Consider the following 24,901-nt stretch of genomic DNA (forward strand, 5'->3'; position numbering starts at 1 on the left):
CAACACACCCAGCTAATTTTTGTATTTTTTAGTAGAGACGGGGTTTCACCATGTTGGCCAGGATGGTCTTGATCTCTTGACCTTGTGATCTGCCCACCTCGGCCTCCCAAAGTGCTGGGATTACAGGTGTGAGCCACCGCGCCCGGCACTGATTGTTTCTTAAATATGCTTTCGGTCAGTCCTCCTTATTTTAGCCACATCTACCACCTCTCCTAGATGGCCACCTGGTGCTACAGATTCTTCGGTCTTTTGGGAATTTCGTCATATAAATTTGAGTAGTTCTCTACTTTTCCTACTACTAGGTAGGGAATCCATTTTTTTTTTTCAGGTTTTGTAAGTTACTACTTATATATCCGTGTTCCAGATTACAAAATTTTGTTCTGATTGTTTCCCTTTGATCTCATGGGTTTATTCCTTTACTGAAATTTTAATGGGGTTTTAGGAGGAAGTAAGAGTTGATACTTGTTTTTAATCTGCCATCCCTAATTGGAAGCCCTCTTTTAGGAACTTTTCCTACAAGTATTTACATGTATATTTGGCTTTAGGTCTTTATATGGATGTATAATTTTTACATAGTTATAATTCTAATACAGATACAACCTTTTTCTTTTCTTTTTTCCTTTTTCATACAGTTTTTTATATGTCATTTATGACTGAGTTAATGTAGTATATGTTGTTTAGTCATTCCCTGTTATTTGTTCCAGAGTTTTTTTGTTTTGTTTTGTTTTGTTTTGAGATGGGTTTTCCCTATGTTGCTGGGGCTGGCCTGGGACTCCTGGGCTCCAGCAATCCTCCCACCTCTGCTTCTCAAGTAGAGTGCCTGGGACTACATGTGTGCCTGGCTAGAGCCAGGTTGTTTTTTGAGTATGTGATTATAAATGATGCTGTGATTAACTCTTGTAATATCACTTTTTGGTGTCTGTCTTTCTTTCTTTCTTTCCCTCCCTCCCTCCCTTCCTTCTTTCTTTCTTTCTTTTTTTTTTTTTTTTTTTTTTTTTTTTTTTTTTTATATAGGCTCTCATTCTGTCACCCAGGCTGGAGTGCAATGGTGTGATCATAGTTCACTGCATCCTCTACCTCTTGGGCTCAGGTGATCCTGCCACCTTAGCCTCCCAAGTAGCTAGAACTACAGGTGCTCACCACCAGGTCCAGCTAATTTTTACTTTTTTAAAAAAATAGAGACAGGATCTTGCAGTGTTGCCCAGGCTGGTCTTGAACTCCTGGGCTCAGGCAATCCTCCCAAAGTGTTAGGATTACAGGTGTGAGCCACTGTGCCCAGATATATTTTTCTTTTGAATACAGCTGTTTATTGATTGTGTTTTTGTACCTTGCTGTACAAAAATTGCTGTATTTTGTTAAACTTTTATGTCTTTGCCATTTTAATAGATATTTACTCTGTTCCATTGTTTTTGTTTTTATCTTAGTGCTATTAATTTTTTTTTTTTTTTTTTTTTTTTTTTTTTTTTTTTTTTTTTTTTTTTTTTTTGAGACAGAGTCTGGCTCTGTTGCCAAGACTGGAGTGCAGTGGCACAATCTCGGCTCACTGCAACCTCTGCCTCCTGGGCTCAAGTGAGCCTCCCACCTCAGCCTCCTGAGTAGCTGGGACTACAGGCTTGCACTACCACACCCAGCTAATTTTTGTATTTTTTGTACAGACAGGGTTTTGCCATATCGGCCAGGCTCATCTCAAACTCCTGGGCTCAAGCGATCTGCCTGCCTCTGCCTCCTAAAGTGCTGAGATTACAGGTGTGAGCCACCACGCCCGGCCAGGAATTTTGTTTTAGAGAAGTTTTAACATTTAGTATAACAATGTTTATCTATCTTTTCCATTGTGATTTCTACTAACATTTTCTTTCCTCAATATAAGAGGACAATAGCACACTTATATTTAGTGTGCTTTTGTCACAATATTTTATTTTTAATATTTAATGCTTTAATTTACCCAAGGTTTATTGTGGTGTGTAGTATGAATGAATGGTTGGTCTAAGTTAAATTTTCTTGGTATTGCTATCCACATAGCACATCAGGATACATTAAATGATTCATTTCTAATACATTATGCTTAACTTGTCTTTCATTAAATTTATATCTGTCTGGTGTGTGTGTGTGTGTGTGTATATATATGGCCTATGTTTAGCATCTCTCTGCTCTTAATCTGTATTTCTATTTTTGACTCAGTATTCCCTTTTGATTATTGTTTCTATATAATATATTTTAATATCTGGTAAGGCTAAGCCTTCCTTTTTTAAAAGTCTTGATATTCTTTCCCATTTTATGTTTTCTAATAATTTTTAACCCATTTCATAACACTTTATAAAGTATCTATCCTATTACTATTCCAACTGGAATTTTGTTAAATTTATAGTTTACTGAAGAAGAATCACCATTTTAATTAAATGTTGTATTATAATAATAGATGCATAAAGTATCTATTTTATTCAAGTTGACTTTTGTTTCCTCAAAAAAAGTTACGTGGTTTTATGTTTTATCAATGCCCCCTTAAATTAATCACCAAGGATTTTATATTTTTATTGCTATTATGAATGGAATATTTTATCTTTGTATTTTTGGAGTAGAAAAATCATTAGCTAGGAGTCAGAATATCTGATTCAAGTATAAGCTCTACATTGGGTAAATCCTTTGCATAACATTGCTGAGATCTGTTTTCTCATCTGTTAAAGGGGAACAGTGGTGTGTCTCATAGGTGGGTTTGTTTATTTTATTTTAAATGTATTTTTTATTTAAAAAATTGAGAAGGTATCTCGCTATGTTGCCCAGGCTGGCCTTGAATTCCTGGCTTCAAGCAATCCCCCCACCTTGACCTCCCAAAGCACTGAGATTACAGGCATGAACCACCACACCTGGCTGCTTTTTTTTAATGCTTATCAAAATTTAAGTGAGGGCAGAGCATGTGAAATTGCTTTTTGAAGTATAAAACTAGAAGACAAAAGTATTTAAGTATTTAGAAAAGTTAATGTTTTTGGAGCAGTATCTTATATCCAGCAACTTTTCTGAACTTTCCTATTGCCTCAAATGATTTCTAAACAGCTTTATTGAGGTATAGTTTACATACAATAAACTGTACATATTTAAAGTATACAATTTGATAATTTTTTAAATTTCTAAGCCATTTTTAGTGTATAGTTCAATAGTGTTAAGTATATTCACAATGTTGTGTAACAGATCTCCAGAATTCTTTTTTTTAAAGGAGGGGACAGAATCTCAGTCTGCCACCCAGGCTGGAGTGCAGTGCTGCGGTCATAGCTCACCATAATCTTGAACGTCTGACCTCAAACGATCCTCCTACCTCAGCCTCCCAAAGTGTTGGGATTACCAGGCGTGAGCCACTGCTCCTGGCCCAGAACTCTTTTAATCTTGCAAAAGATTAAAACTGAAACTCTGTACCCATCAAACAACTCCCCGTTTTCCTCTCCCCCTTGGCAACTACCATTCTACTTTTTGTTTCTATGAATTTGACTACTTTAGATATTTAATGTAAGTGTAATTATACACTATTTGCCTTTGTTATAACTGGCTTATTTCACTTAACATAATGGCCTCAAGTTTCATACGTGTTGTGGTAGTATATAACAGGGTTTCCTTCCTTTTTAAGGCTGAATAATAATATGTTGTATGTATATCCCACATTTAATTTATCCATTGATCCATGGACAGTTGGGTTTCTTTCATTTCTTGGTTATTGTGAATAATGCTGCTGTGAACATGGGTGTGCAGATATCTTGTTGAGATCCTTTTTTCAATATACCCAGAAGTGGGATTACTGAATCATATGGCAGTTCTATTTTCAACTTCTTGAGGAACTGCTATACTATTTTCCATAGTGACTGCACCATCTCAAATGACTTATTTTTTTGTTTTGTTTTTTATTTTTTGGAGACAGAGTCTTGCTGTGTCTCCCAGGCTGGAGTGCAGTGGGATGATCTCGGCTCACTCCAACCCGTGCCTCCTGGGTTCCAATGACTCTTATGCCTCAGCCTTTTTGAAGTATAAAACTAGCTGGCACTACAGTTGCATATCACCAAGCCCAGCTAATTTTTGTATTTTTAGTAGAGATGGGGTTTTACCATGTTGCCCTGGCTGGTCTCAAAACTCCTGGTCTCAAATGATCCACCCAGCTTGGCCTCCCAAAGTGCTGGGATTACAGGCATGAGCCACCGCACCTGGCCACAAACACTGTGCCTGGCAGCTGTTTTTTGATGGACTAAGTAAACAACTGTATCTTTTGAAAAGTATATTAAATTTCTCTTACTTAATTTCAATTATTTTTGTATCATATTTTGATGGTAGGAATATTTAACGAATTTCACAGTTCTAAAATGTTATCAATTATAAGATGCACCATTATTTTATGTATTGATAAGAGAAAAAAGCTGTCAGTTAAACTGATACATCATTGATTGTAAGATACATCCCAATTTCAGAAATGTTAAAATATGAAATAATGTATTCATTTAAATTGATGAGATATTATATGTTAGTTGCTAATGGTAATAATGAACCTTTTCCTTAAAAATTAATAAGGTAGAAATTAATCATTTATATTTAAATTCTGGCTAAACCTAGCAAAGTGTACACACATTTAAGCTGCTGTTTCCTGAAAGCTCACAAAAGTAGCAGTATTGGAATTTTAAAAAGCGTAAACTTGCAAGGACAAAGAGAACAAGGGAGGATACCACAGCAAATGACAACCGTTGACAGTTTTTAGAAAATGAATGTCTAAGTAAAAGAGTTTTGATATTTGGTTATTGTGGAGGAAAAATTGGTGATAGGTACATGGGAAGTTACAAACAAAAACACGAGGCATTTAACCTCAGAGGAAATAAAAAATTTTGCAAGAAAGGAAGTCATAGCATAGTATATAGCTTAGTTGTGAATAGTGTTTACATATTTATAATAATGCAGTTATTGAGTATTTAATTTTTTATTGAGAAGTTGGGGGAAGAGGAAGTGGGAGTGTTTGGGTGCTACAAGAGAGTTAAAACCAAATATTTTCAACACAGTAAGTCAACAGTGTCTAAAATTGGTAAGTCAAGAATTGTCAATGTAAGCATGCCATTTAGAATTATGGAGGGATTATCACAAGAAATTGCTTAAAGTGCCTAAAAGTAGTTGCTTTTGTGGAATGACGCTCTGGGATCAGAGGCTGCTGTTTTTATTAGGAGCCTTTTAGTACTATATGTTTTGTTTTTTTAAATTATATACATCTTTTACTTTAATTAAAAAAATTTAAGAAGAAAAGGAAACTAGGGTGGTGATATTTATGTTTTCCACTTAGTCAGTCAAGCAGTGTAATCTTTTTTTTTTTTTTTTTGAGACAGAGTCTTGCTCTGTCTCCCAGGCTGGAGTGCAGTGGCATGATCTGGGCTCACGGAGATGTAACCTCCGTCTTCCGGGTTCAAGTGATTCTCTTACCTCAGACTCCCGAGTTGCTGGGATTACCTGCTCCCTCCTCCACATCCGGCTAATTTTTGTATTTTAGTAGAAATGGGGTTTCAACATGTTGGCCAGGCTGGTCTTGAACTCCTGACCTCAAGTGATCCTCCCGCCTCCACCTCCCAAAATGATGGGATTGCAGGCGTGAGCTACCACACCTGGGTAAGCAATTTCTTGATTAGAAATGAAAGAAGACCATTTTTACTGCCCCATGTGTAAAAGAGCTCACTTGGAATTGCTGGAGTAGATAATCACTGTGACCCACCTCTGCCTTGGGAAAGTGTTCATCAAATATTAGTACTGTTGTGAGTCAGACATAGTTCTAGGCGTTAGGGGTAAAAACAAAACAGAAAGACAGTATTCTTATATTCTTATTCTCATCGAAACAATACAGAAATAAAGAAAAATAGTTGTAAAGCCTTTTCCCTGAGCTAAATAACACTGTAAGTTTCTTTGGAAACTGGATAGACCAGTATTGTTTATTTATTTCCCCCCTCTACTTCTCTGCTGGCTTTTCAATAATTGGTTTAAATTTGGCTGGAGCAGTACAGTGTTTTGGTGATGAAGAGGAAAGTGTTCAGGATCTTCAGGACATTGACATTGCATCGTGGTTCTTCTTGAACATCCCCTCTGTGGCTATAATCCTCGGTGCCTAAGTGAGCCTTCACTTGTATGGCCAGGTTGGGGAGAGACTGGCATAATCTTTCTATTAGTCACTTCCTGGCAGGACATTCATATCCTTGTACGGTTCTTAGAAGAACTTAATAGCTAAATGATACTAATAATAGCTACTGATATATACTTTACAAAACTCTTAACATCTGTCATCTTTTTCTTGTACATCTATGAGATATTCCAGTTTTACACAGTGAAAGGGTTTACATGACTTATGCAAGTACACATTGGTAGGTGACAGAACTAGAAGTTGAATTAGTCTCTCAATCTTTTTTTTTTTTTTTTTTTTTTTTGCGATGGAGTCTTGCTCTGTCACCCAGGCTGGAGTGCAGTGGTGCTATCTCGGCTCACTGCAAGTTCCGCCTCCTGGGTTCACGCCATTCTCCTGCCTCAGCCTCCTGAGAAGCTGGGACTACAGGCGCCTGCCACCTCTCCCCGGCTAATTTTTTGTATTTTTAGTAGAGACAGGGTTTCACCATGTTAGCCAGGATGGTCTCGATCTCCTGACCTCGTGATCCACCCGCCTTGGCCTCCCAAAGTGCTGAGATTACAGGCATGAGCCACCGCGCCTGGCCCTCTTGACTTAATCTTGAACTCATTTGCCTATCCAACTATCTTTCCTTAAAATACTCTGGGAAATGCTTTCCACCTTGAGTACCAAACATCATTGATCTTCCTTATTTCATTCTCTCTTCAGGTTAATTCATGTGGCTTTCAAACACAAATCAAACTTTCTTTAATAAAGAAGGAGCCATTTCTTATTGCTTATTTTAGCTCCCTGTTGTTTATTTCCTTAAGTCTAAATTCCTGTGCCTACTTTTTAGGATTTTTCATAATCTAGTGTTAGTCTGCCTATCCAGCATTATCTTTAATTGTCTCCTGTTCCCTTATTTAAATCAGGCAAATCTGTTTTCTCAAAGTATTTAAGCACAGACTCATTCCTGTTTCCTATCTTTAGCTTATAGTTTCTCTTCTTCATTCTGTTCTTTGGGGATCCACCTAAGGCTTCCCTGATAACTGTAATTATCAATAAGTGCTTCCATTCTGACTGCCTATATCACTGTCTGTACCATACATGTTTGCTATTTCATTGTAATGCAGCATTATATACTGTCTTTCAGTGCTCTCTAATTGTTTACACATGTATAAAATAACTGGAATTTAAGTCCTCTGACACGAGAAACCAGATCTCTCACATATACCTAAAAGAATGCTTGAGCGCTTGCCAGATATTCTTTAAATGCTAGTTATTCCAATAAGTATACCTGTTACTGGATGTGTTAGTCCATTTTCACACTGCTATAAAGACACTACCTGAGATTAGGTAATTTATAAAGAAAGGAAGGTTTTTTTTTGTTTGTTTGTGCTTTTTTGAGATGGAGTCTCGCACTGTCACCTGGGCTGGAGTGCAGTGGCATGATCTCAGCTCACTGCAACCTCTGCCTCCTGGGTTCAAGCGATTGTCCTGCCTCAGCCTCCCGAGTAGCTGGGATTACAGTTGCCTGCCACCATGCCCAGCTAATTTTTTGTATTTTTAGTAGAGACGGGGTTTCATCATGTTGGCCAGGCTGGTCTCGAACTCCTGACCTTGTGATTCACCCGCCTCAGCCTCCCAAAGTGCAAGAAAGGAAGTTTAATTGACTCACAGTTTCGCATGGCTTGGGAAAGCCTCAGGAAACTTACAATCATGGCATAAGGTGAAAGGGAAGCAAGCACCTTCTTCACAAGGTGACGAGAGAGAGAGCACATGCAGGGGGAACTGCTGTTTTTAAAACTATCAGATCTAGGCCAGGTGCGGTGTCTCATGCCTGTAATCCCAGCACTTTGGGAGGTCGAGGCGGGCAGATCACTTGAGGTCAAGAGTTGGAGACTAGGCTGGCCAATGTAGTGAAGCCCCATCTCTATTAAAAATACAAAAATTAGCTGGGCGTGATGGCTCATGCCTGTAGTCCCAGCTACTCTGGAGGCTGAGGCAAGAGAATCGCTTGAACCTGGGAGGCGGAGGTTTCAGTGAGTCGAGATTGTGCCACTGCACTCCAGCCTGGGTGACAGAGCCAGACTCTGTCTCAAAACAAACAAAAAAACCCCATCAGATCTTGTGAGAACTCCCTCACTATCATGAGACCAGCATGGGGAAACCAGACCATGATCCAGTCACCTCCCACCGGGTCCCTCCCTCGACATATGGGGACTACAATTTGAGATGAGATTTGAGTGGAGGCACAGAGCCAGACCATATCCCTGGACATGTGGCAGAGTTCACTGGTAATGATGGTGGTCCAAGTGGATAAGAGATTTTCTGAAAATGCGTCTGTGTCTGTTTTCATCGAGAATGTACATAATAATGATTTTTACACTCCTTTCTGCTCTACTTCTGTTTTGGTGATAGGCAGTCGATGATGTGAAGAAAGGTTACATCAAAGCAGAAGAAAAGTCCTATCAATTACAGAAGCTATACGAACAAAGAAAAATGGTCATGGTAAGTTTATGTCCCCATAATCCCTTTAAAAATGCCCCTTCCTACCTTTAAAACCTATAGTCCTAGTCATTTTTGAAAGGATTACAACCTGGTTAGTGGCTTAACTAATTTTAAAAAAGGAGGGGAATAGGGACCTTGATGCAAAGTCCATTGTGTTTCTCCATTTAACACACAAAGATCTTGAATTACTGTGTATTAGTACATAATTTTATTATTATTTTGGGGGGTGGGGTGGGGGAGGGACAGAGTCTTGCTCTGTTGCCCAGGCTGAAGTGCAGTGTCGCGATCTAGGCTCACTGCAACCTTTGCCTCCTGGGTTCAAGCGATTCTCCTGCCTCAGCTTCCCGAGTAGCTGGGACTACAGGCATGTGCCACCACACCCAGCTAATTTTTGTATTTGTAGTAGAGACAGGGTTTTGCCATGTTGGCCAGGCTGGTCTCGAACTCTTGACCTCAGGTGATCCACCTGCCTCGACCTCCCAAAGTGCTGGGATTACAGGACTGAGCCACTGAGCCTGGCCCATAATTTTATTATTAATAATAACTATTTTTTGGTTAAAAAGTGCTAAAACAAAAGTTGTGTAAAACATTACAATAGGATATAGATAAGATTGTATAAGACCTGATATTTAGCTTTTTAACATTAGGAGTTATTTTAGTCATGATTTAGCAATAGCAAAATCATTTGTTTTTACAGCTTCCATTTCTGCAGTTGCTTAAACATTTATGCTCCGTAGTGCTCTTGGTTAGTATATCATCCTAGAATTGTGCTATTTGATTCAATAGCTACTAGACTCATGTAGGTATTTAAATATAAATTTAAATTCATTTAAATTAAATGCAATTTAAAATTCAGTTCTCTAGCTGCTCTAGCCACATTTCAATGCTAAGCAGCCATATGTGCACAGTGAATAGCTAGCATATTGGACTGTGCAGGTATAGAACATTTTCATCATCACTGAAAGTTTTGCCGAACAGGGCTGCCTAGAGTATTCCTTAAATGGCTTTAAATTCATTTTCAATTTGTATCTGCCATAGATACAGGGATGGAAATTGTCAAAAATAAAATTAGTAAAGAACACATAAAAATTTCTACTCATTATAACATTTTTAAATTTCTCTCTTGGCAGATTCACATGCAGTTGAAGTTTTTTCAATTATACATGCTTCTCAACTTACGATGGGGTTACATCCCAATAAACACATCTTAAGTTGAAAATATTAAATCAAAAATGCATTTAATACACCTAACCTACCAAACATTATAGCTTAGCCTAGCCTATCTTAAATGTGATCAGAACACATATTACCCTACAGTCAGGCAAAATCATCTAACACAAAGCCCAGTTTAGAATAAAGTTATTTAAACTGTTTTTTTTTTGAGACTGAGTCTTGCTGTGTCACCCAGGCTGGAGTGCAGTGGTGTGATCTCAGCTCACTGCAACCTCCGCCTCCTGGGCTCAAGCGATTCTCCTGCCTCAGCCTCTCGAGTAGCTGGGACTATAGGCACCCAACACCACGCTTGGCTAATTTTTGTATTTTTAGTAGAGATGGGGTTTCACCATGTTGGCCAGGCTGGTCTCGAACTCCAGACCTTGAGTGAACCGCTTGCCTCAGCCTCCCAAAGTGCTGGAATTACAGGCGTAAGCTACCGTGCCAGGCCTAAAGTTATTTAAAGTTTTGAACAAAAATTTGAGGTACTTGTAAAGACAGCAGAAAAGTTAAAAAAAAAATTGAAGTACAATGTCTACTGCACACACATTGTTTTCACACCATCATAAAGTCAAAAAAGCATTAAGTTAACCATTGTAAGTTAGTGACCATCTGTATCATTTTCATTCTTTAGTAGTGATTCTGATAGGTCATTTGAATTCTTTTGTACCTTCTGTGTACTTTTCAGGAGAGAATATTGATTCATGTACATTAATTGGGTTGGAATAAGAATGCAAACAGCTGCGGGGCACGGTGGCTCACACCTGTAATCACAGCACTTTGGGAGGCTGAGGCGGGTGGATCACCTGAGGCCAGGAGTTCGAGACCAGCCTGGCCAACATGGTGAAACCCCATCTGTACTAAAAATGCAAAAAGTAGCTGGGCGTGGTAGCATGTGCCTGTAATCCCTGCTACTCAGGAGGCTGAGGCCAGAGAATCGCTTGAACCCGGGAGGCGGAGGTTGCAGTGAGCCGAGATTGCAACACTGCACTTCAGCCTGGAAAACACAGTGAGACTCCGTCTCAACAACAACAACAACAACAAAAAATGCAAACCAGTCAGCCATTGAACTTAGCCTGTAATCTTATATCTAGCTAAGTTAGTTATTTTAATCATTTATGTGATGAAAAGTAATAAATCTCTATACCTTAGAAAATTGCCGAAGATCAGGGAGCCACCTTACCAATGTTCTACGTATCAGCAGGCTGACATAGAAAATGCAAAATCTTTTAAATGTAATTAAATCTTGGCAGAATTTTGGTTAGGAGAATTTTGCTATGTGTGAGACAGAATTTTAAAACACGACTTCCACCTGTTCTTTAAGATAATGGCATTGTCTTCTATATATTAATGCATGATTCTGACCAATACATTTGCATCTTTTTGGTGAAAAGGGCCAAATACTAACAGGCCATCAACTTCTGCAGTAATCCTTTGCCTTTGCTAAAGCCAACAGAGTTTTCTTGTTTCTGAAAAGTTAATAGAGTCAAAATAATTTCATAAGGTCTTCTGATAATACCAGTGTGGAATACATACTGTTTCTTTGCATTTATAGTATTCCAAACACACTATCTTTCCATCTATGTATTCAACAAAACATATTTGTTGAGTACCAAGTACGTGCCAGGCACAGTGCAAGGTGTGAGAGAAATACATAGGTTTGCATTGTGCTGTGGCAAAATATAGAAAATCTGAATTTAATAAACACAGTAATCTATTATGAAGTCATTTTTAGACTTGTTTATATTTTGTAATCACCCAGGTAAAAACTCAAGTATAGTTGATAGACAGATATGTTTCCCCATGGTCTTTTGCCATTGTGTATAAAATATGCTTAAACATTTGTGGAATTAGATTGTCTTGAAAACCTAGTGCCAACATATTTCTGTGTACTAGCCACATGATATGATAGTCAGATTTTGAAGAAAGGCTCATCAAAGTTTGAATTTTATGAGTATAATATGTATTCAAGTATCAGTGTTCAAAGGCATTAGCCTAGCCAATATTAGGTCATGGTCAATACATTGAAACTTCTCACATGGGCCTTCTGAGCCCATAGGCCCTGATGCCATTAACCATAGCAACTAAGTGTGGTGAACAGGCCTACGATTAGGCCAGGTCACTACAATTAGTAGTTGTCACATCACTGTGAGAACTGCAGCAACACAATGAACTTCTCAGTTTTAGTTTCTTTTCTGTAAAATGGGGATATTCCGATTATCAGCTATTAAGTAGAATCTTGACAAAATACACCAAGATTCTTGGAAGATAAATAAGCTTTGTGTAAGTTCCCCTGTCCTCCAAATCTTCAAATACAGAAGAGAGCTCACGTCTGTGCATAGTTTATAATACCCAGTGTGATCAAAAACATTTTTGTTTTTTACTTACTTACAAAGTTAGACTGAATCTCAAATTTGGATGGTTGAGAATATAATATACAAGAAACAATGTTTTCTCTTCTCTTCCTTCCTCCCTCCCTCCCTTTCTGTCTCCTCACACAAACAGTAGACATGTGTAAATTATGCTTTTCTTATGTTGAAGTGGCCTGATTTTGCCCTTGTTGAACAGATAAATAAAGAGCTTTTGTGTTTCTCTACATAATTTGTATTGATTTCACACAAGGCAGCATGTATGTCAGTTTTTCTCAAAGTGTGGTCTCCAGTCTACTTACATGGAAGACACTTTTGAAGCTGCTTAAAATGCAGATTTCTAGACTCCACCCCACATTTACTAAGCCAGAATCTCTGGGGGTAGGACCTAGGGAACTTTATTTTTAAAAAGCACACTGGTGATTCTGGAACGTTAGGTGCTTCAGAATCACTACTCTGATTCTGGTTTTGGGAGAGTTGGCTCTTGAAGTTCCTCTCAGTCCCTTACTTCTATTTTGGACCTGGTTTGACCCTTAGCAGGTTGTTTGGGAGAACAGAGAGTTCTCTGGAGTGGACCTTGACCCATTCACCTAAAGTGTTCTGCTCTGTTAAACACTGAGTCTCTGCTTTAAAAACTGTCGGCCTGGCGCGGTGGCTCACGCCTATAATCCCAGCACTTTGGGAGGCCGAGGCGGGCCGATCATGAGGTCAGGAGATCGAAACCATCCTGGCTAACACGGTGAAACCTCGTCTCGACTAAAACTACAAAAAATTAGCCGGGCGTGGTGGCGGGCGCCTGTAGTCCCAGCTACTCAGGAGACTGGGGCAGGAGAATGGCGTGAACCCAGGAGGCGGAGCTTGCAGTGAGCCGCGATCGCGCCGCTCACTCCAGCCTGGGCGACAGAGCGGAGTCTGTCTCAAAAAAAAAAAAAAACAACGAAAAACAAAAAAAAAAACTGCCCTATGTCTGTATTTATTTGTCTTGCTGAATATTGAACATTTATAAAATATCCTGTACTATACCTGTCCAATTCTCTGGCTTAAATGGGCCACTTTCTACATGATACATGAATAAAGGAAGATAATTCGGGATACATAGTTACTCAAAACTTAAAGTGAAAACTAAGGGAAGCTGTGTCCTTGGTGAGACAACAGAGTAAAGTCTCACTGGGAGACAGGGTGGTCAGAGAGACTCAGGTTGGGTAGTATTTGTCAACTTTAAGTGGGAAGTCCCTGAAAGGAGAATGGGCAGGATGATTTGGTGTTTTAAATACCAAATACCCTTTTAAATATCCTTATGTAAACATGCTTAAAAGCAAAAATTCAGCGAGGCGCGGTGGCTTACGCCTGTAATCCCAGCACTTTGGGAGGCCAAGGCAGGCAGATCACGAGGTCAGGAGTTCGAGACCAGCCTGGCCAGCATGGTGAAACCCCGTCTCTACTAAAAGTACAAAAAATTGCTGGGTGTGGGGGTGCACGCCTATAATCCCAGCTACTCAGGAGGCTGAGGCAGGAGAATTGCTTGAACCCGGGAGGCGGAGGTTGCAGTGAGCTGAGATCATGCCACTGCACTCCAGCCTGGGCAACAGAGTGAGACTCTGTCTCAAAAAAAAAAAAAAAAATTCACCTGTTTTTACGAATTTTTGATTTATATAAATAAATTTTTGTAACTCATTTTAGGTTTAGGGACACGTGCAGATTTGTTACATAGATAAACTGCATGTCATGGGAGTTTGGTGTACAGATTATTTTGTCACCCAGGTAGTAAGCATGATACTACCTGGGTGTTTTTTCTGATCCTCTCCTGTAAAGTTTTAAATGTTTCTTCTTTGAGGCTTTGTGCAAGCCCAAGAATGTAGAGACTGCCCACTTAATGCTGATAAATACTGCCCAATCTGAGCTCTCTGAAAACCTTGTCTTCCAATGAGACTTTACCTTTATCGGCTCACCAAGGGCACAGGTGCCCTTAGTTTTCACTTGGGTTATTTTTAGAGCTTATGCCATTAAGAAGTCCCCTGAAGGTCTTTTGCTTTCAAGGACTACATTCTTGAATATGGAGGGATAAATTAGTCTTTTGATTCAGAGGGGACGGACAGGGCATGTATTATGTGCCTGACTGGTCTAGGCACTTTATATGAAGTCTCATTTTCTCCTTATAACAACCCTGCAGGTATTATTCTTACTTTACAGAGAAGTGAAGTCTGAGAGATTAAGATTCTTACCTAAGATGACGTAGCTTCTCAGAAGTGGAACTAGAATTTGAAAATGTGATTTGAACCCATTTTTGTCAGGCTCCAGTGCATATATTTTTCCCTGCATCAGGGAAGACAGGATAGCAGCAATGTCTTTTATTTCCAGATGGCAGAAGAGAAGACCCCAGGTAGAATAACTTACTCAAGGTCACAAAGAGAGAGTTTAAGGTACTCAGAGCTCCACGCTTCTTCTGATCTCTTTTCCCAAATCCCTGCCTTTGTCGGCATGCTTCTCTCTTTTTAAAAGATCTATTATAGTAAAAGTCCCAATTAGAGATTGTGGCAGAAATATTTGTCAAAACAGTAGTGGTACCTCTCAACGAAGAGAACTCTCAACAGATGTGCTGTATGTAATCCTGTTTTGTTAAAGGACATGAGTAGTACTAGTTTCAAGGGTCAACGACACCCACTGGCATTTACAGAGGTGTTAAGTGTCCTGGAGCAGAATTGCTGCTTATCGAGCATGTAAAGTTTCTGATGACTATGTTAGGAAGATGGCTTGGATTGAGTGCCAGAGGCCTGGTTGCTAGGGTGTTCTTTTTCTTTTAACATTTTATTGTATCTATATATACTTTTTTTTTTTTGAGATGGAGTCTCAGTCTGTTGCCCAGGCAGGCTGGAGTGCGGTGGCACAATCCCGGCTCACTGCAGCCTCCACCTTCCAGGTTCAAGCAATTCTTCTGCCTCAGCCTCTCATGTAGCTGGGATTACAGGTGCATGCCACTATGCCTGGCTAATTTTTGTATTTTTAGTAAAAATGGGGTTTCACCATGTTGGCCAGGCTGGTCTCGAACTCCTGACCTCAGGTGATCTGCCTGCCTTGGCCTCCCAAAGTGCTGGGATTACAGGCATGAGCCACCACACCCAGCTGTATAAATTTTTAAATACATAAAGAAGTTGGAAGAAAAATACAATTAATCCCCTTGTATCCATTACCCAGCTTCGATAGCCTTCGACTTTCTGCCATTCATGTTGCCTCTATCTCACTCACATGCTTTTTTCCCCTCAGGAGATTTGTGTGTTTGTTTGTTTTACTGTCACTGACTTGAAGCTCACCCCAGGGATTTTTAAAAGTAATTTCCAGATACTTTAAAAGTTTTTTTTTAGCTGTCATTTATTAAATGCCTAATTATGGCTGAGTACTATGTTAAATATCTTTTTTATTTTTATTTCTTGTTTTGAGACAGGTCACTTATTTTGAGATTGCAGTGGTGCAGTCTCAGCCAGGCTGGAGTGCAGTGGTTCCATCATAGCCTTGACCTCCTGGGCTCAAGCAATCCTCCCACCTCACCCTCCCAAGTAGCTAGGACTACAGGTGCCCGGCAAATTTTTTTTTTGTTTTTTTTTTTATAGAGATGGGGTTTCACTATATTGCCTAGGCTGGTCTCTAACTCCTGGGTTCAAGTGATCCTCCCACCTCAGCCTCCCAAAGTGTTGGGATTACAAGTGTGAGCCACCATGCCCAGCCAAATACTCTGTATTTAATGCTCACAAATCACACTGTGGTTTAGATGTTATTATTATTTCCCATTTATGGAAGAGGAAACTGAGGCACCTGGGATTAAGTAATTTGCCTGCCTTAAAGTAGCTTGCGCAAGGTTGCACAGTTAGGAAGTAATGGAAGTAATGGGGCCAGGATTCAAGCCCAGGGTAGTCTGGGCCTCTTCCTCACTCCTCTGTGTTTCAGGCATTGCTGTTTATTATAACCCCAGAAGAGTTCTGTTCTATACCACCCACCCCTGTCATATTTACCAAAGTATAGGAGTCAGAGATTTATTTTGTTTATAGTGCCAATGGCAGGATTAAGCAGTATCCATGTTTATCACTGATCTAGGAAGGACAATAAAAAAGAGAAAGTGAAATAGAAGGTGGTATGTGCCTATAGTCCCAGCTACTCAGGAGGCTGAGGTAGGAGAATAGCGTGAACCCAGGAGGTGGAGCTTGCAGTGAGCCGAGATGTGCCACTGCACTCCGGCCTGGGTGACAGAGCCAGACTCTGTCTCAAAAAAGAAAAAGAGAAATATTTACTCCCTTTCTTAATTGTAAGGATAGATTAGATGCCCATCCCTTGATTACAATGAAAATAGAGGATCAGACTAAACAGAATTGTGAGACCCCTTCTAGCCCTGTGAGTCCTGGTTATAGTATATCTTCTGGTTTTCATCTGTGTATCTTTTTGTTTTTCTGGTTTTTTTTTTTTTTTTTTCCTTGAGACAGAGTCTTGCTCTGTCTCCCAGGCTGGAGTGCAGTGGCGCAATCTCAGCTCACTGCAACCTCTGCCTCCTGGGTTCAAGCGATTCTCCTGCCTCAGCCTTCCGAGTAGCTGGAATTACAGGCATGTGCCACCATGCTTGGCTAATTTTTTGTATTTTTAGGTATTTGAGGCTGCAGTGAGACATGGTCATGCCACTGCACTCCATCGAGACGGGGTTTCACTGTGTTAGCCAGGATGGTCTTGATTTCCTGACCTCGTGATCCACCCGCCTCGGCCTCTCAAAGTGTTGGGATTACCGGCGTGAGCCACCGCGCCTGGCCTGTATCTTTTTGAAGTAGAGAAAGGAGGGTTAGAAGTATGAAGGTGTTGTTTCCTTACTTATGGCAAAAAAAAGTAGAAGTTGAAAGTGGGATAAAGAATTGCTAGCCAGGCACGGTGGCTCATGCCTGTAACCCTTGCACTTTCGGTGGCTGAGGTGGGAGGATTAGTTGAGCCCAGGAGTTCAAGACCAGCGTGCGTAACATAGGGAGACCCTGTCTCTATAGAAAATCAAAAAATTAGCTGGGTATGGTGGTGTGTGCCTGTGGTCCCAGCTACTTGGGAGGCTGAGGCAGGAGGATCACTGGAGGCTAAGGTGGGAGGATTGCTTGAGCCCTGGAGGTTGAGGTTTCAGTGAGCCAAGATCATGCTACTGCACTCCAGCCTAAGTGACAGAGCAAGACCTGGTCTCAAAAAATAAAAAGAAAAGAATTGTCTCAGAGTCCTTTCCCAACTTAGAGATGGGTGTGAGACCAGAGGCCAGGTCTTCAGGTTGTTGGGTGAGAATACTCTTTGTTCTTTTTCTTGCACCACATCTCAATAGCTCTTTATTGTGTTTAATACCATAGTAACCCTGTTTCCTGTTTCTCCTTCCTTTTTTTTTTTTTTTTTTTTTTTTTTAGTACCTCAACATGCTAAGGACTTGTGAGGGCTACAATGAAATCATCTTTCCCCACTGTGCCTGTGACTCCAGGAGGAAGGGGCACGTTATCACAGCCATCAGCATCACGCACTTTAAACTGCATGCCTGCACTGAAGAAGGACAGCTGGAGGTGAGTTTTCAGCATAGGGCTCTGGCTGCGAGGACTGGAGATACTTTGATGCTCACTTGCTTGTGACGTTTTAATTCCATTTTAGGGGGAAATGAAATCAAAACTGTATTTTGACTGGGGCAAATAAACAGGCATGGAATCCACACTGATCCTCAACTTCATTGGCTGCTTCCACTGATTTGTATTCTTCTATCACAGTCCTTTCTCTGAAGCGATGCAGACATCCATTCATTTCTCTTCTGTCTCCTGGTTCAGAACCCCCTACCTCAGTTCCCCAGCACTCTGAAACACAGACTGTACCTTACTCCCTTGTCTTGGTTGTCCAGAACCAGGTAATTGCATTTGAATGGGATGAGATGCAGCGATGGGACACAGATGAAGAAGGGATGGCCTTCTGTTTCGAATATGCACGAGGAGAGAAGAAGCCCCGATGGGTTAAAATCTTCACGCCATATGTGAGTGCAATTTGGGGAAAGTAACTGGGACTTAGTTTGTTTTTTTGTTTTTTTTTTCAGCTAAATGCATAAATGGAGAGAGAGATAGAGCTAGTAGTTGTCTTGAGATCCGAACCTGTTTGAATCCTGGAGCCCCCAGATTCATCCTGTTTTTGCTTTAGGCCTGACTGGAATTGGCAATTTCCTATCCCACTTGGCTCGTAGTTACCACTAGAAGGAGCTAGAGAATAGTGGATGAACCAGGCCTGGGTTTTATGGTACTTGTCAGGGTTTTTCTCTAGACTGAGTTTGGAAGATGGGATGACTGGGGACAGGAGTTCAAAGGCACAGTCCTGAGATGCCTGCTCTTGAGAAGTTAGTGAGTGTCACCACCTTTTTTTTCAGTTCAATTACATGCATGAGTGCTTCGAGAGGGTGTTCTGCGAGCTCAAGTGGAGAAAAGAGGTAATTCTGAACAGTCCTTGAATTGACCTTTTCATCTTTTTGTTTCTTTAAAATTTATAGGCCTGTGGCCAAATACCTGGGACCCTCACCTCCATCTCTGTCTTTCTAGGAATATTAGTTAGAGACTGATTATCTCATGTGAGCCAGGACATTCTTCCAGCAAGGTTGGCCTCTGGATGGTGAACGGGCTGTGCAAAAAAGCCCTGCTTCTTCCCTTGTCTAGAGGGTGGACATTGGCTACAGGCTCTTCCATCTCTCATGACTTCATGGACCCTCCTCTGCCAGTTTTTTAAATCAGATCACCCTCCATGTTGTTCCTGACCCACAGGGGAAGCTGTCCTCAGTTGTAGCCGTCTTGACTGGATGAGTCCTGGCAGTCTTTCTAGGCGAACCAAGAATGTTTGTGTGAGGGAAGGTGTTTGCTGTTGCTTTACTGCTGTCTGTATGTGCCAGTGCTGGAACAGAATTTGGAAGATTCTGAATAATTAGTTACTTATTCTCAAAGAAAATCTTTGAAAGAATCAGGAGGTCAAGTCAAGAACATGAAAATTTATATTTTAGTACAGTAGAAAGAACATTGGGCTCTGGGAATTTTATCTGGGTTTTCTCCTGGCTTTTTTTTCCCTCTGTGTAATTTTGGGTAAATCAGCCTCCCTAGCTTTCAGTTTTCTCTTCTGTGAAACAGGAAGACTGAACCACGTAATTAATATCCAAGGTCCCTTCCGGCTCTAAAAGGCTATGATTCTAGATGAGAAGTTATATCAAGAAAGATGTGGCCAATCAGATTGAGTCATCCAGGCATACCTTTTTAGCTTCTGTTTGTGGAGTTGTCTCCAGATAAGAGGAGATGTGCCTTCCCAATAACTCTTTTTTTTTTTCCTTTCAGAACATTTTCCAGATGGCGAGGTCACAGCAGAGAGATGTGGCCACCTAGCCTTTCCTTATCCCCTTCCCTTCCCTTCACCCCCATCCTCTTACTCCTTTCATGTCCCATTTCAGACAGAGTAACCATTAACAAAAAAGAAGAGAAAAAGTTAAAGTCGTTATATTCAAAAGCCCTAAACTAAATATTATTAATAACCCCCTCTGAATTTCATGTCTCTGGAATTGAGGTGGTAGTGAACAGCAGATCGGTCAGCACCAGAAGTCAACTGAGTTAAGGCAGGAAAAGAAATAAGCCCAACCAACTTGCCAAAGGTATCTTTGTCCTTTCACCTGGGCCTCATACCAACAGCCTCTCCTTGTACTATATTTTTAAAACTGGAACTATGAACTTCATCCATTTGCACTGTTCAGACATATATATGTATGTATGTAAAAATTATATATACACAAATTAGCTGCACGTATATACATATATATATTTCTTTTTAAATTTCATATTGATGGCAGTACCTTTTTTAGCTTGTGTTTTTACACACCTTTCACTAGAATCCATGACCTCCCTCGTGCTCTCTTTCTTTTGAAACAAACTTTAAAAAGGAAAAAAAAGCATTTTACAGGGAAAAATACCTCTCCTCATGAAGGACTTGAAAAGTTTACAACCTGCTTGGATTTTTGCCCCTTTTTTTGTATTGAGTATAGATTCCGGCTCATGGGTTGCCATAGAGTCTAGGAACAAGGAGTATAGTTTCTTTATCTTCCAAGAGGGTGCTGGGGAGGAGAAAGAGGTGTGTTTCTCAAGGTTAACAGGCTGTAGTTCTGCAGGGAGAGCCTGAAGTCCTGGTATGGGCTCTTGATTCTGTGACAATTTTTTTGATCCATCTATTTCTCTCACTCCTGGCTTTCTAGCCACATTCTGCACCTCCTTCCTGCTTTCCTAGAGCCTCGGTATGCTTTCCCTCAACCGACCCTGGCTCAGGAGGTTGATGCCATGGGAACCTGAACCTGAAACACTTCATGGTAGTAATTTCCTGTTTTCCTTGCCTTTTTTTTTTTTTTTTTTTTTTTTTTCTGAGACAGGGTCTTACTCTGTCGCCCAGACTGGAATGTGGTGGCATGAACATAGCTCACTGTTACCTTGAATTCTGGGCTCAGGTGATCCTTCCGCCTCACCCTCCTGAGTAGCTGGGACTACAGGTGTGCACCACCACACCTGGCTAATTCTTCTTAAAATTTTTTTGTAGAGACAGGGTCTCACTATGTTGCCCAGGCTGGTCTCAAACTCCTGGCCTCAGGTGATCCTCTTGTCTCAGCCTCCCAAAGTGCTGGGATTACAGGCATGAGCCACTGTGTCCTTCCCTGCCTTTTTTGCAGCAGGGATAGTACTCAGGACCAGAGTTAAGCTGATACCTTAGGCACACAGGTTGGACTTACATAGAGGAAAGAAAGCAAGAAATGCCCTATGTACATGAGGTTTTACCTCCTCCATTCCTGACCAATAACCACCCATAACTACGGCATTCTCTGTGACTTCCTTAAACAGCAGTGATGGGAAGGGATCCAATAGTATCTTCAAGGCCTTGGGGAAACTTGCAGTGGGTCAGTGGTCTGTGCCAACCAAACGATAGCCCCATCCAAGCCAGCTGAGAACCTAGGAAGGAGTAGTAGGAATATGGTTGATTAGATTGGATCTCCCAAGTTTTAATTGAAAGGAGACTGAACGAAAACCTTTCTGCTTTCTGTCCGTTAAAGAGCTCCTCATCTGATCTTGCAGCTAGACCCTTTGAGACTTAAGAGCTGCATCCCAGGATCAGAAGCCAGGGCTAATTGGGGTAGGACAATATTCCCAGCCCCTAAGCTCTGTAGATAATGCATAAGAAGCACCAAGTCAGGCTCAGATGCAACTAAAACACATCTTTGAGCCTTTTCTTTTTCCCTTCTCCCCTTTCTAAACAAAAACCTTCCTAGGATGGCATCTTTTGCTCTAACTGGGAGACAGTCATAATTGGTTGTAGTCAATTCTACTAAGCAGTGTTGGGGTGGTTGGAAAGTCTCTTTTTTGTAATTTGTTTTTGCAAATCATTGTGAGGCCACTTTTTCTTTCTTTCTTTCTTTCTTTCTTTCTTTCTTTCTTTCTTTCGTTCTTTCGTTCTTTCGTTCTTTCTTTCTTTCTTTCTTTCTCTTTCTTTCTTTTGCTTTCCTTCTTTCATCTCTTTTTTGTAATTTGTTGTTGCAAATCATTGTGAGGCCACTTTTCTTTCCCCTTCCTTCCTTCCTTTTTTTCTGTTTTTTTTTTTTTTTTTTCCCAGAGTCTTGCTCTGTCGCCCAGGTTGGAGTGCAGTGGCACGATCTCGGCTCACTGCACCCTCTGCCTCTTGGGTTCAAGCGATTCTCCTGCCTCAGCCTCCCAAGTAGCTGGGATTACAGGCATACACCACCACGCCCCACTAATTTTTTGTATTTTTGGTAGGGCGGGGTTTCACCATGATGGCCAGGTTGGTTTTGAACTCCTGACCTCAAGTAATCTGCCCACCTCGGCCTCCCAAAGTGCTAGGATTACAGGAGTGAGCCACTGCGCCTGGCCCACTTTTCTTTCTTTCCTTCTTATTTTGTTATGCTGGCAGCCATTTGCCCCTGCATGGTATGGGATCAAAGAGGACAGCCTTTCCTCCCTCACCTTCTCCAAATCTAGGTGAAATCACAGAGTACAAAACGTGAGAATGCTGAATGTGTAAAGTTGCAGAGGGATCCCTAATTTGAAGACTTTGACACAGAACTAACTTCTTTTGACTTAAATGAATTTAAAATGAGCCAAAGGACCCTGAAAAGAAGACATGTTGATTTCCCACTCCTAGATGCTAAAGAGACTTGGCACCAGCTTTGTTCAAACTGTAAAAATAGCAATTTGCCCCTACTCGCTCAGAGTGGGACAGTAGTGAACAGAGCTGGGATTCCATGCGACAGCTTGAATGCTGACCTTCAGACATGAGACATAGGGATTTGGAGGCCCCTTAGAATGGGTAGATGGTGTTATGTTCCCTTTCTGGCATAGCATTCACTTGGTGCTTTGGAGATTAGGTGAGGGCCCTATAGGTAGTTGGCCTGTTGGCAGAATTTATTTAGGAACAGCCCTTTTGAAAGTGTCCCAGTAACAACGCACCCAGCTGCAGCAAGGAGGTGGGGAAGGAGGGCACCCCAAAGGACAGCGCCTTCTTCTCTTCCACCCATGCACGGCCTTGGGTGATGGAGGCGGGTTCCCTGTGGCTGCGTGGATCCCATAGGATCAAGCCCTTCTTTGCATGAAGCAGTGTTGTGACTCTTCTCTCTCCCCTTCCTCTGCACTTCCTTTCTGTAATCCCTACTGTTCTTCTTAGTCCCAGCTTCTGCCCAGGGAGGCTTCTACCCAGACTTCTTTTGCAATTTGTCCCTGGGAAGAGGGGGTCTCCCAGTGCCCCCAGCTTCATCCCAGCAGAACCAGCAGGATCCTCCTGGTCTCTCACTGGCCTTCCTCCACACTTGGTTTCTATCCTCAGGGGTAGAAGCTCAGAGCTTTTTATGGCCCAGGAGAAAATGTAGACCCTGAGAAACCTGTCCCTGCAGAAAGGTTCCCTTGGGCCATGCTTTGGGCCCTCTGCTCTTTATATGTTTATTCTATTCTCCATTTTTCCACCCCGTCCTTACCCTAGGCCTAAACACAGGTACAGATATGTGCATGCTCAGGGCAGCTCCTAGGCCTGGACTGAGCTCTCAGGGGGGAATTAGATAAATATTCCAACATCCTCATGCCTGGCCCATTTAGTTTCATCCTTTAGTTACCCAGGCCAGTAGCTTTGGGTTATCCCTTCCTGTAGCTCCAAACCCAGCACTTGGAGCAGCAAAATAGGGCACTGACAGGAGATGAAACTCTCTCCTATCTCAGAATTTGCCAACTTCTGGGCTGGGCTCCTAGGAGGTAGTTTTCTTGAAGGGGACTGCATCCTAGTTGACCTGAATTTTCCAGACCAGGAGGGACTGCTGTGCTCTCCCTTCTCGCCATCATACTGTTTGGCTAGATTCATTCAGCAGTAGAAGCTGTTTGATCTGTTGACCCCAGCATACTGCTGTTTCTTCACCAGCTTCATTGTGTCACAGTAGCTTCCTTTGGGAGGATGATGTGATAGAACACTCAGAGAGAGGGAGGGAGAAGAGAGATAGTGGGTATGCTTCTCTAGCTCCCCATCTTCCAGGTCCACCTCTTGACTTCCTGTTCCCCTAAACCTGAGCACATCACGCCAGGCCTCTTTGCTGCCAGGACAGCATCAGCTCACTCCTCAGCAATAATCTAGGGTATGTGGGAAGGTCAGGGCTGTGGTAAGGAATAGAATCAAAGAGGGGAGTGATACGGGGTGGGGGCACTTGGCCGCCTGCTAAACTTGGACATTAATTTTATATCATGACCCCCTTTTAAGCCAGTGAGCTGGGCTTCAGTTTTTCCCAGGCCATGCACATTTAATTTATTTCAGAGAAACTCTAATTGTATTTTCACTGCAGTATCTTGTATTTTTTATTTGTGATTTAAGAAATGTGAAGAGAAAATACACAGACACAATAATGGCTAACATTGTTTCTTTCATTCCTTGTTCTAGAGCTAACCACTCTAAAATTGTTTGGTAATGTCACTTAGTGTAATTAATTGTAACATATTCTTTTAAATAAATTGATTTATTGATCAAACACTTCTTTGGTTTCCTAGACTACAAATCCTTTGGGTTGTGTGGGAAGAAGTGAACTGGGACCTTTGAGATTTGAGTCAGAGTGGTCAGTCTGAAAAGAAGAAACATCTAACCAGTTTTCCCAGGTAACTAGTGTGGCAGTTTTTTGAGTGCAGGGAATGGAGAAGGGTGAGGAAAGAAGCCACAGGAGGCCCTTGGTTTGCAGTTCTCTTCCCAGTGGCTCCTTTGAAAATTCCTTCTTCTCCTTCAGATCTCAGAGGTGATTGAGCTTACCCCTCCCATCTGCAAGCTTGCACAAAAATCCTTTGAAGAATCACAGGATTCCTTTCTCTGCCATGCAGATAGAGCCTGGCAGAGCCTTTGGTACAGATCTTAGCAATGGACCCTCCTCTCCACCCCCAGCAACAGGTATATACTTTTTCAGGTAAATCGGGAAAGTTTTTCTCTTTGGGATCTGGACTGAAAGGAACACATTATGACTATTGAACTGTCCAGCACAAAACTAGGCACTGTGGGTGGCCTTACTCTCCCCTGCTCCCACACTCCTGAGAAGAAGGGTGGTCCTACAGCCTTTTGCTTTTACAGAGGCATCTGAGGGGCTGGGGCCTAATTACCTTCTCTCAAGGGTATCTGTTCCTCTGCACATTTGTTTATGAGCTGA

The 24,901-nt window shown here is 41.3% G+C and overlaps 1 protein-coding gene across 10 annotated transcripts in view; it reads left to right on the forward strand.

The window, feature by feature from the left end:
* The window catches only part of SNX27 (sorting nexin 27), an 87,031-nt gene extending 62,788 nt beyond the window's left edge, over positions 1 to 24,243 (forward strand). For 5 of the 10 annotated variants that reach the window (NM_030918.6, NM_001437604.1, NM_001437603.1 and 2 more), the window contains 5 exons: positions 8,519 to 8,608; positions 17,598 to 17,747; positions 18,074 to 18,202; positions 18,587 to 18,646; positions 18,756 to 24,243. In NM_030918.6, the coding sequence (NP_112180.4) occupies positions 8,519 to 8,608; positions 17,598 to 17,747; positions 18,074 to 18,202; positions 18,587 to 18,646; positions 18,756 to 18,764 (438 nt within the window). In that variant the 3' untranslated portion in view covers positions 18,765 to 24,243. The remainder of the gene's footprint in view (positions 1 to 8,518; positions 8,609 to 17,597; positions 17,748 to 18,073; positions 18,203 to 18,586; positions 18,647 to 18,755) is intronic. The other 5 variants (NM_001330723.2, NM_001437607.1, NM_001437602.1 and 2 more) reach the window with 1 other exon arrangement.
* The last annotated feature ends 658 nt before the right edge of the window (positions 24,244 to 24,901 follow it).

The sequence above is a fragment of the Homo sapiens genome, chromosome 1 (genome assembly GCF_000001405.40).
Source record: "Homo sapiens chromosome 1, GRCh38.p14 Primary Assembly".
NCBI lineage: Eukaryota > Metazoa > Chordata > Mammalia > Primates > Hominidae > Homo > Homo sapiens.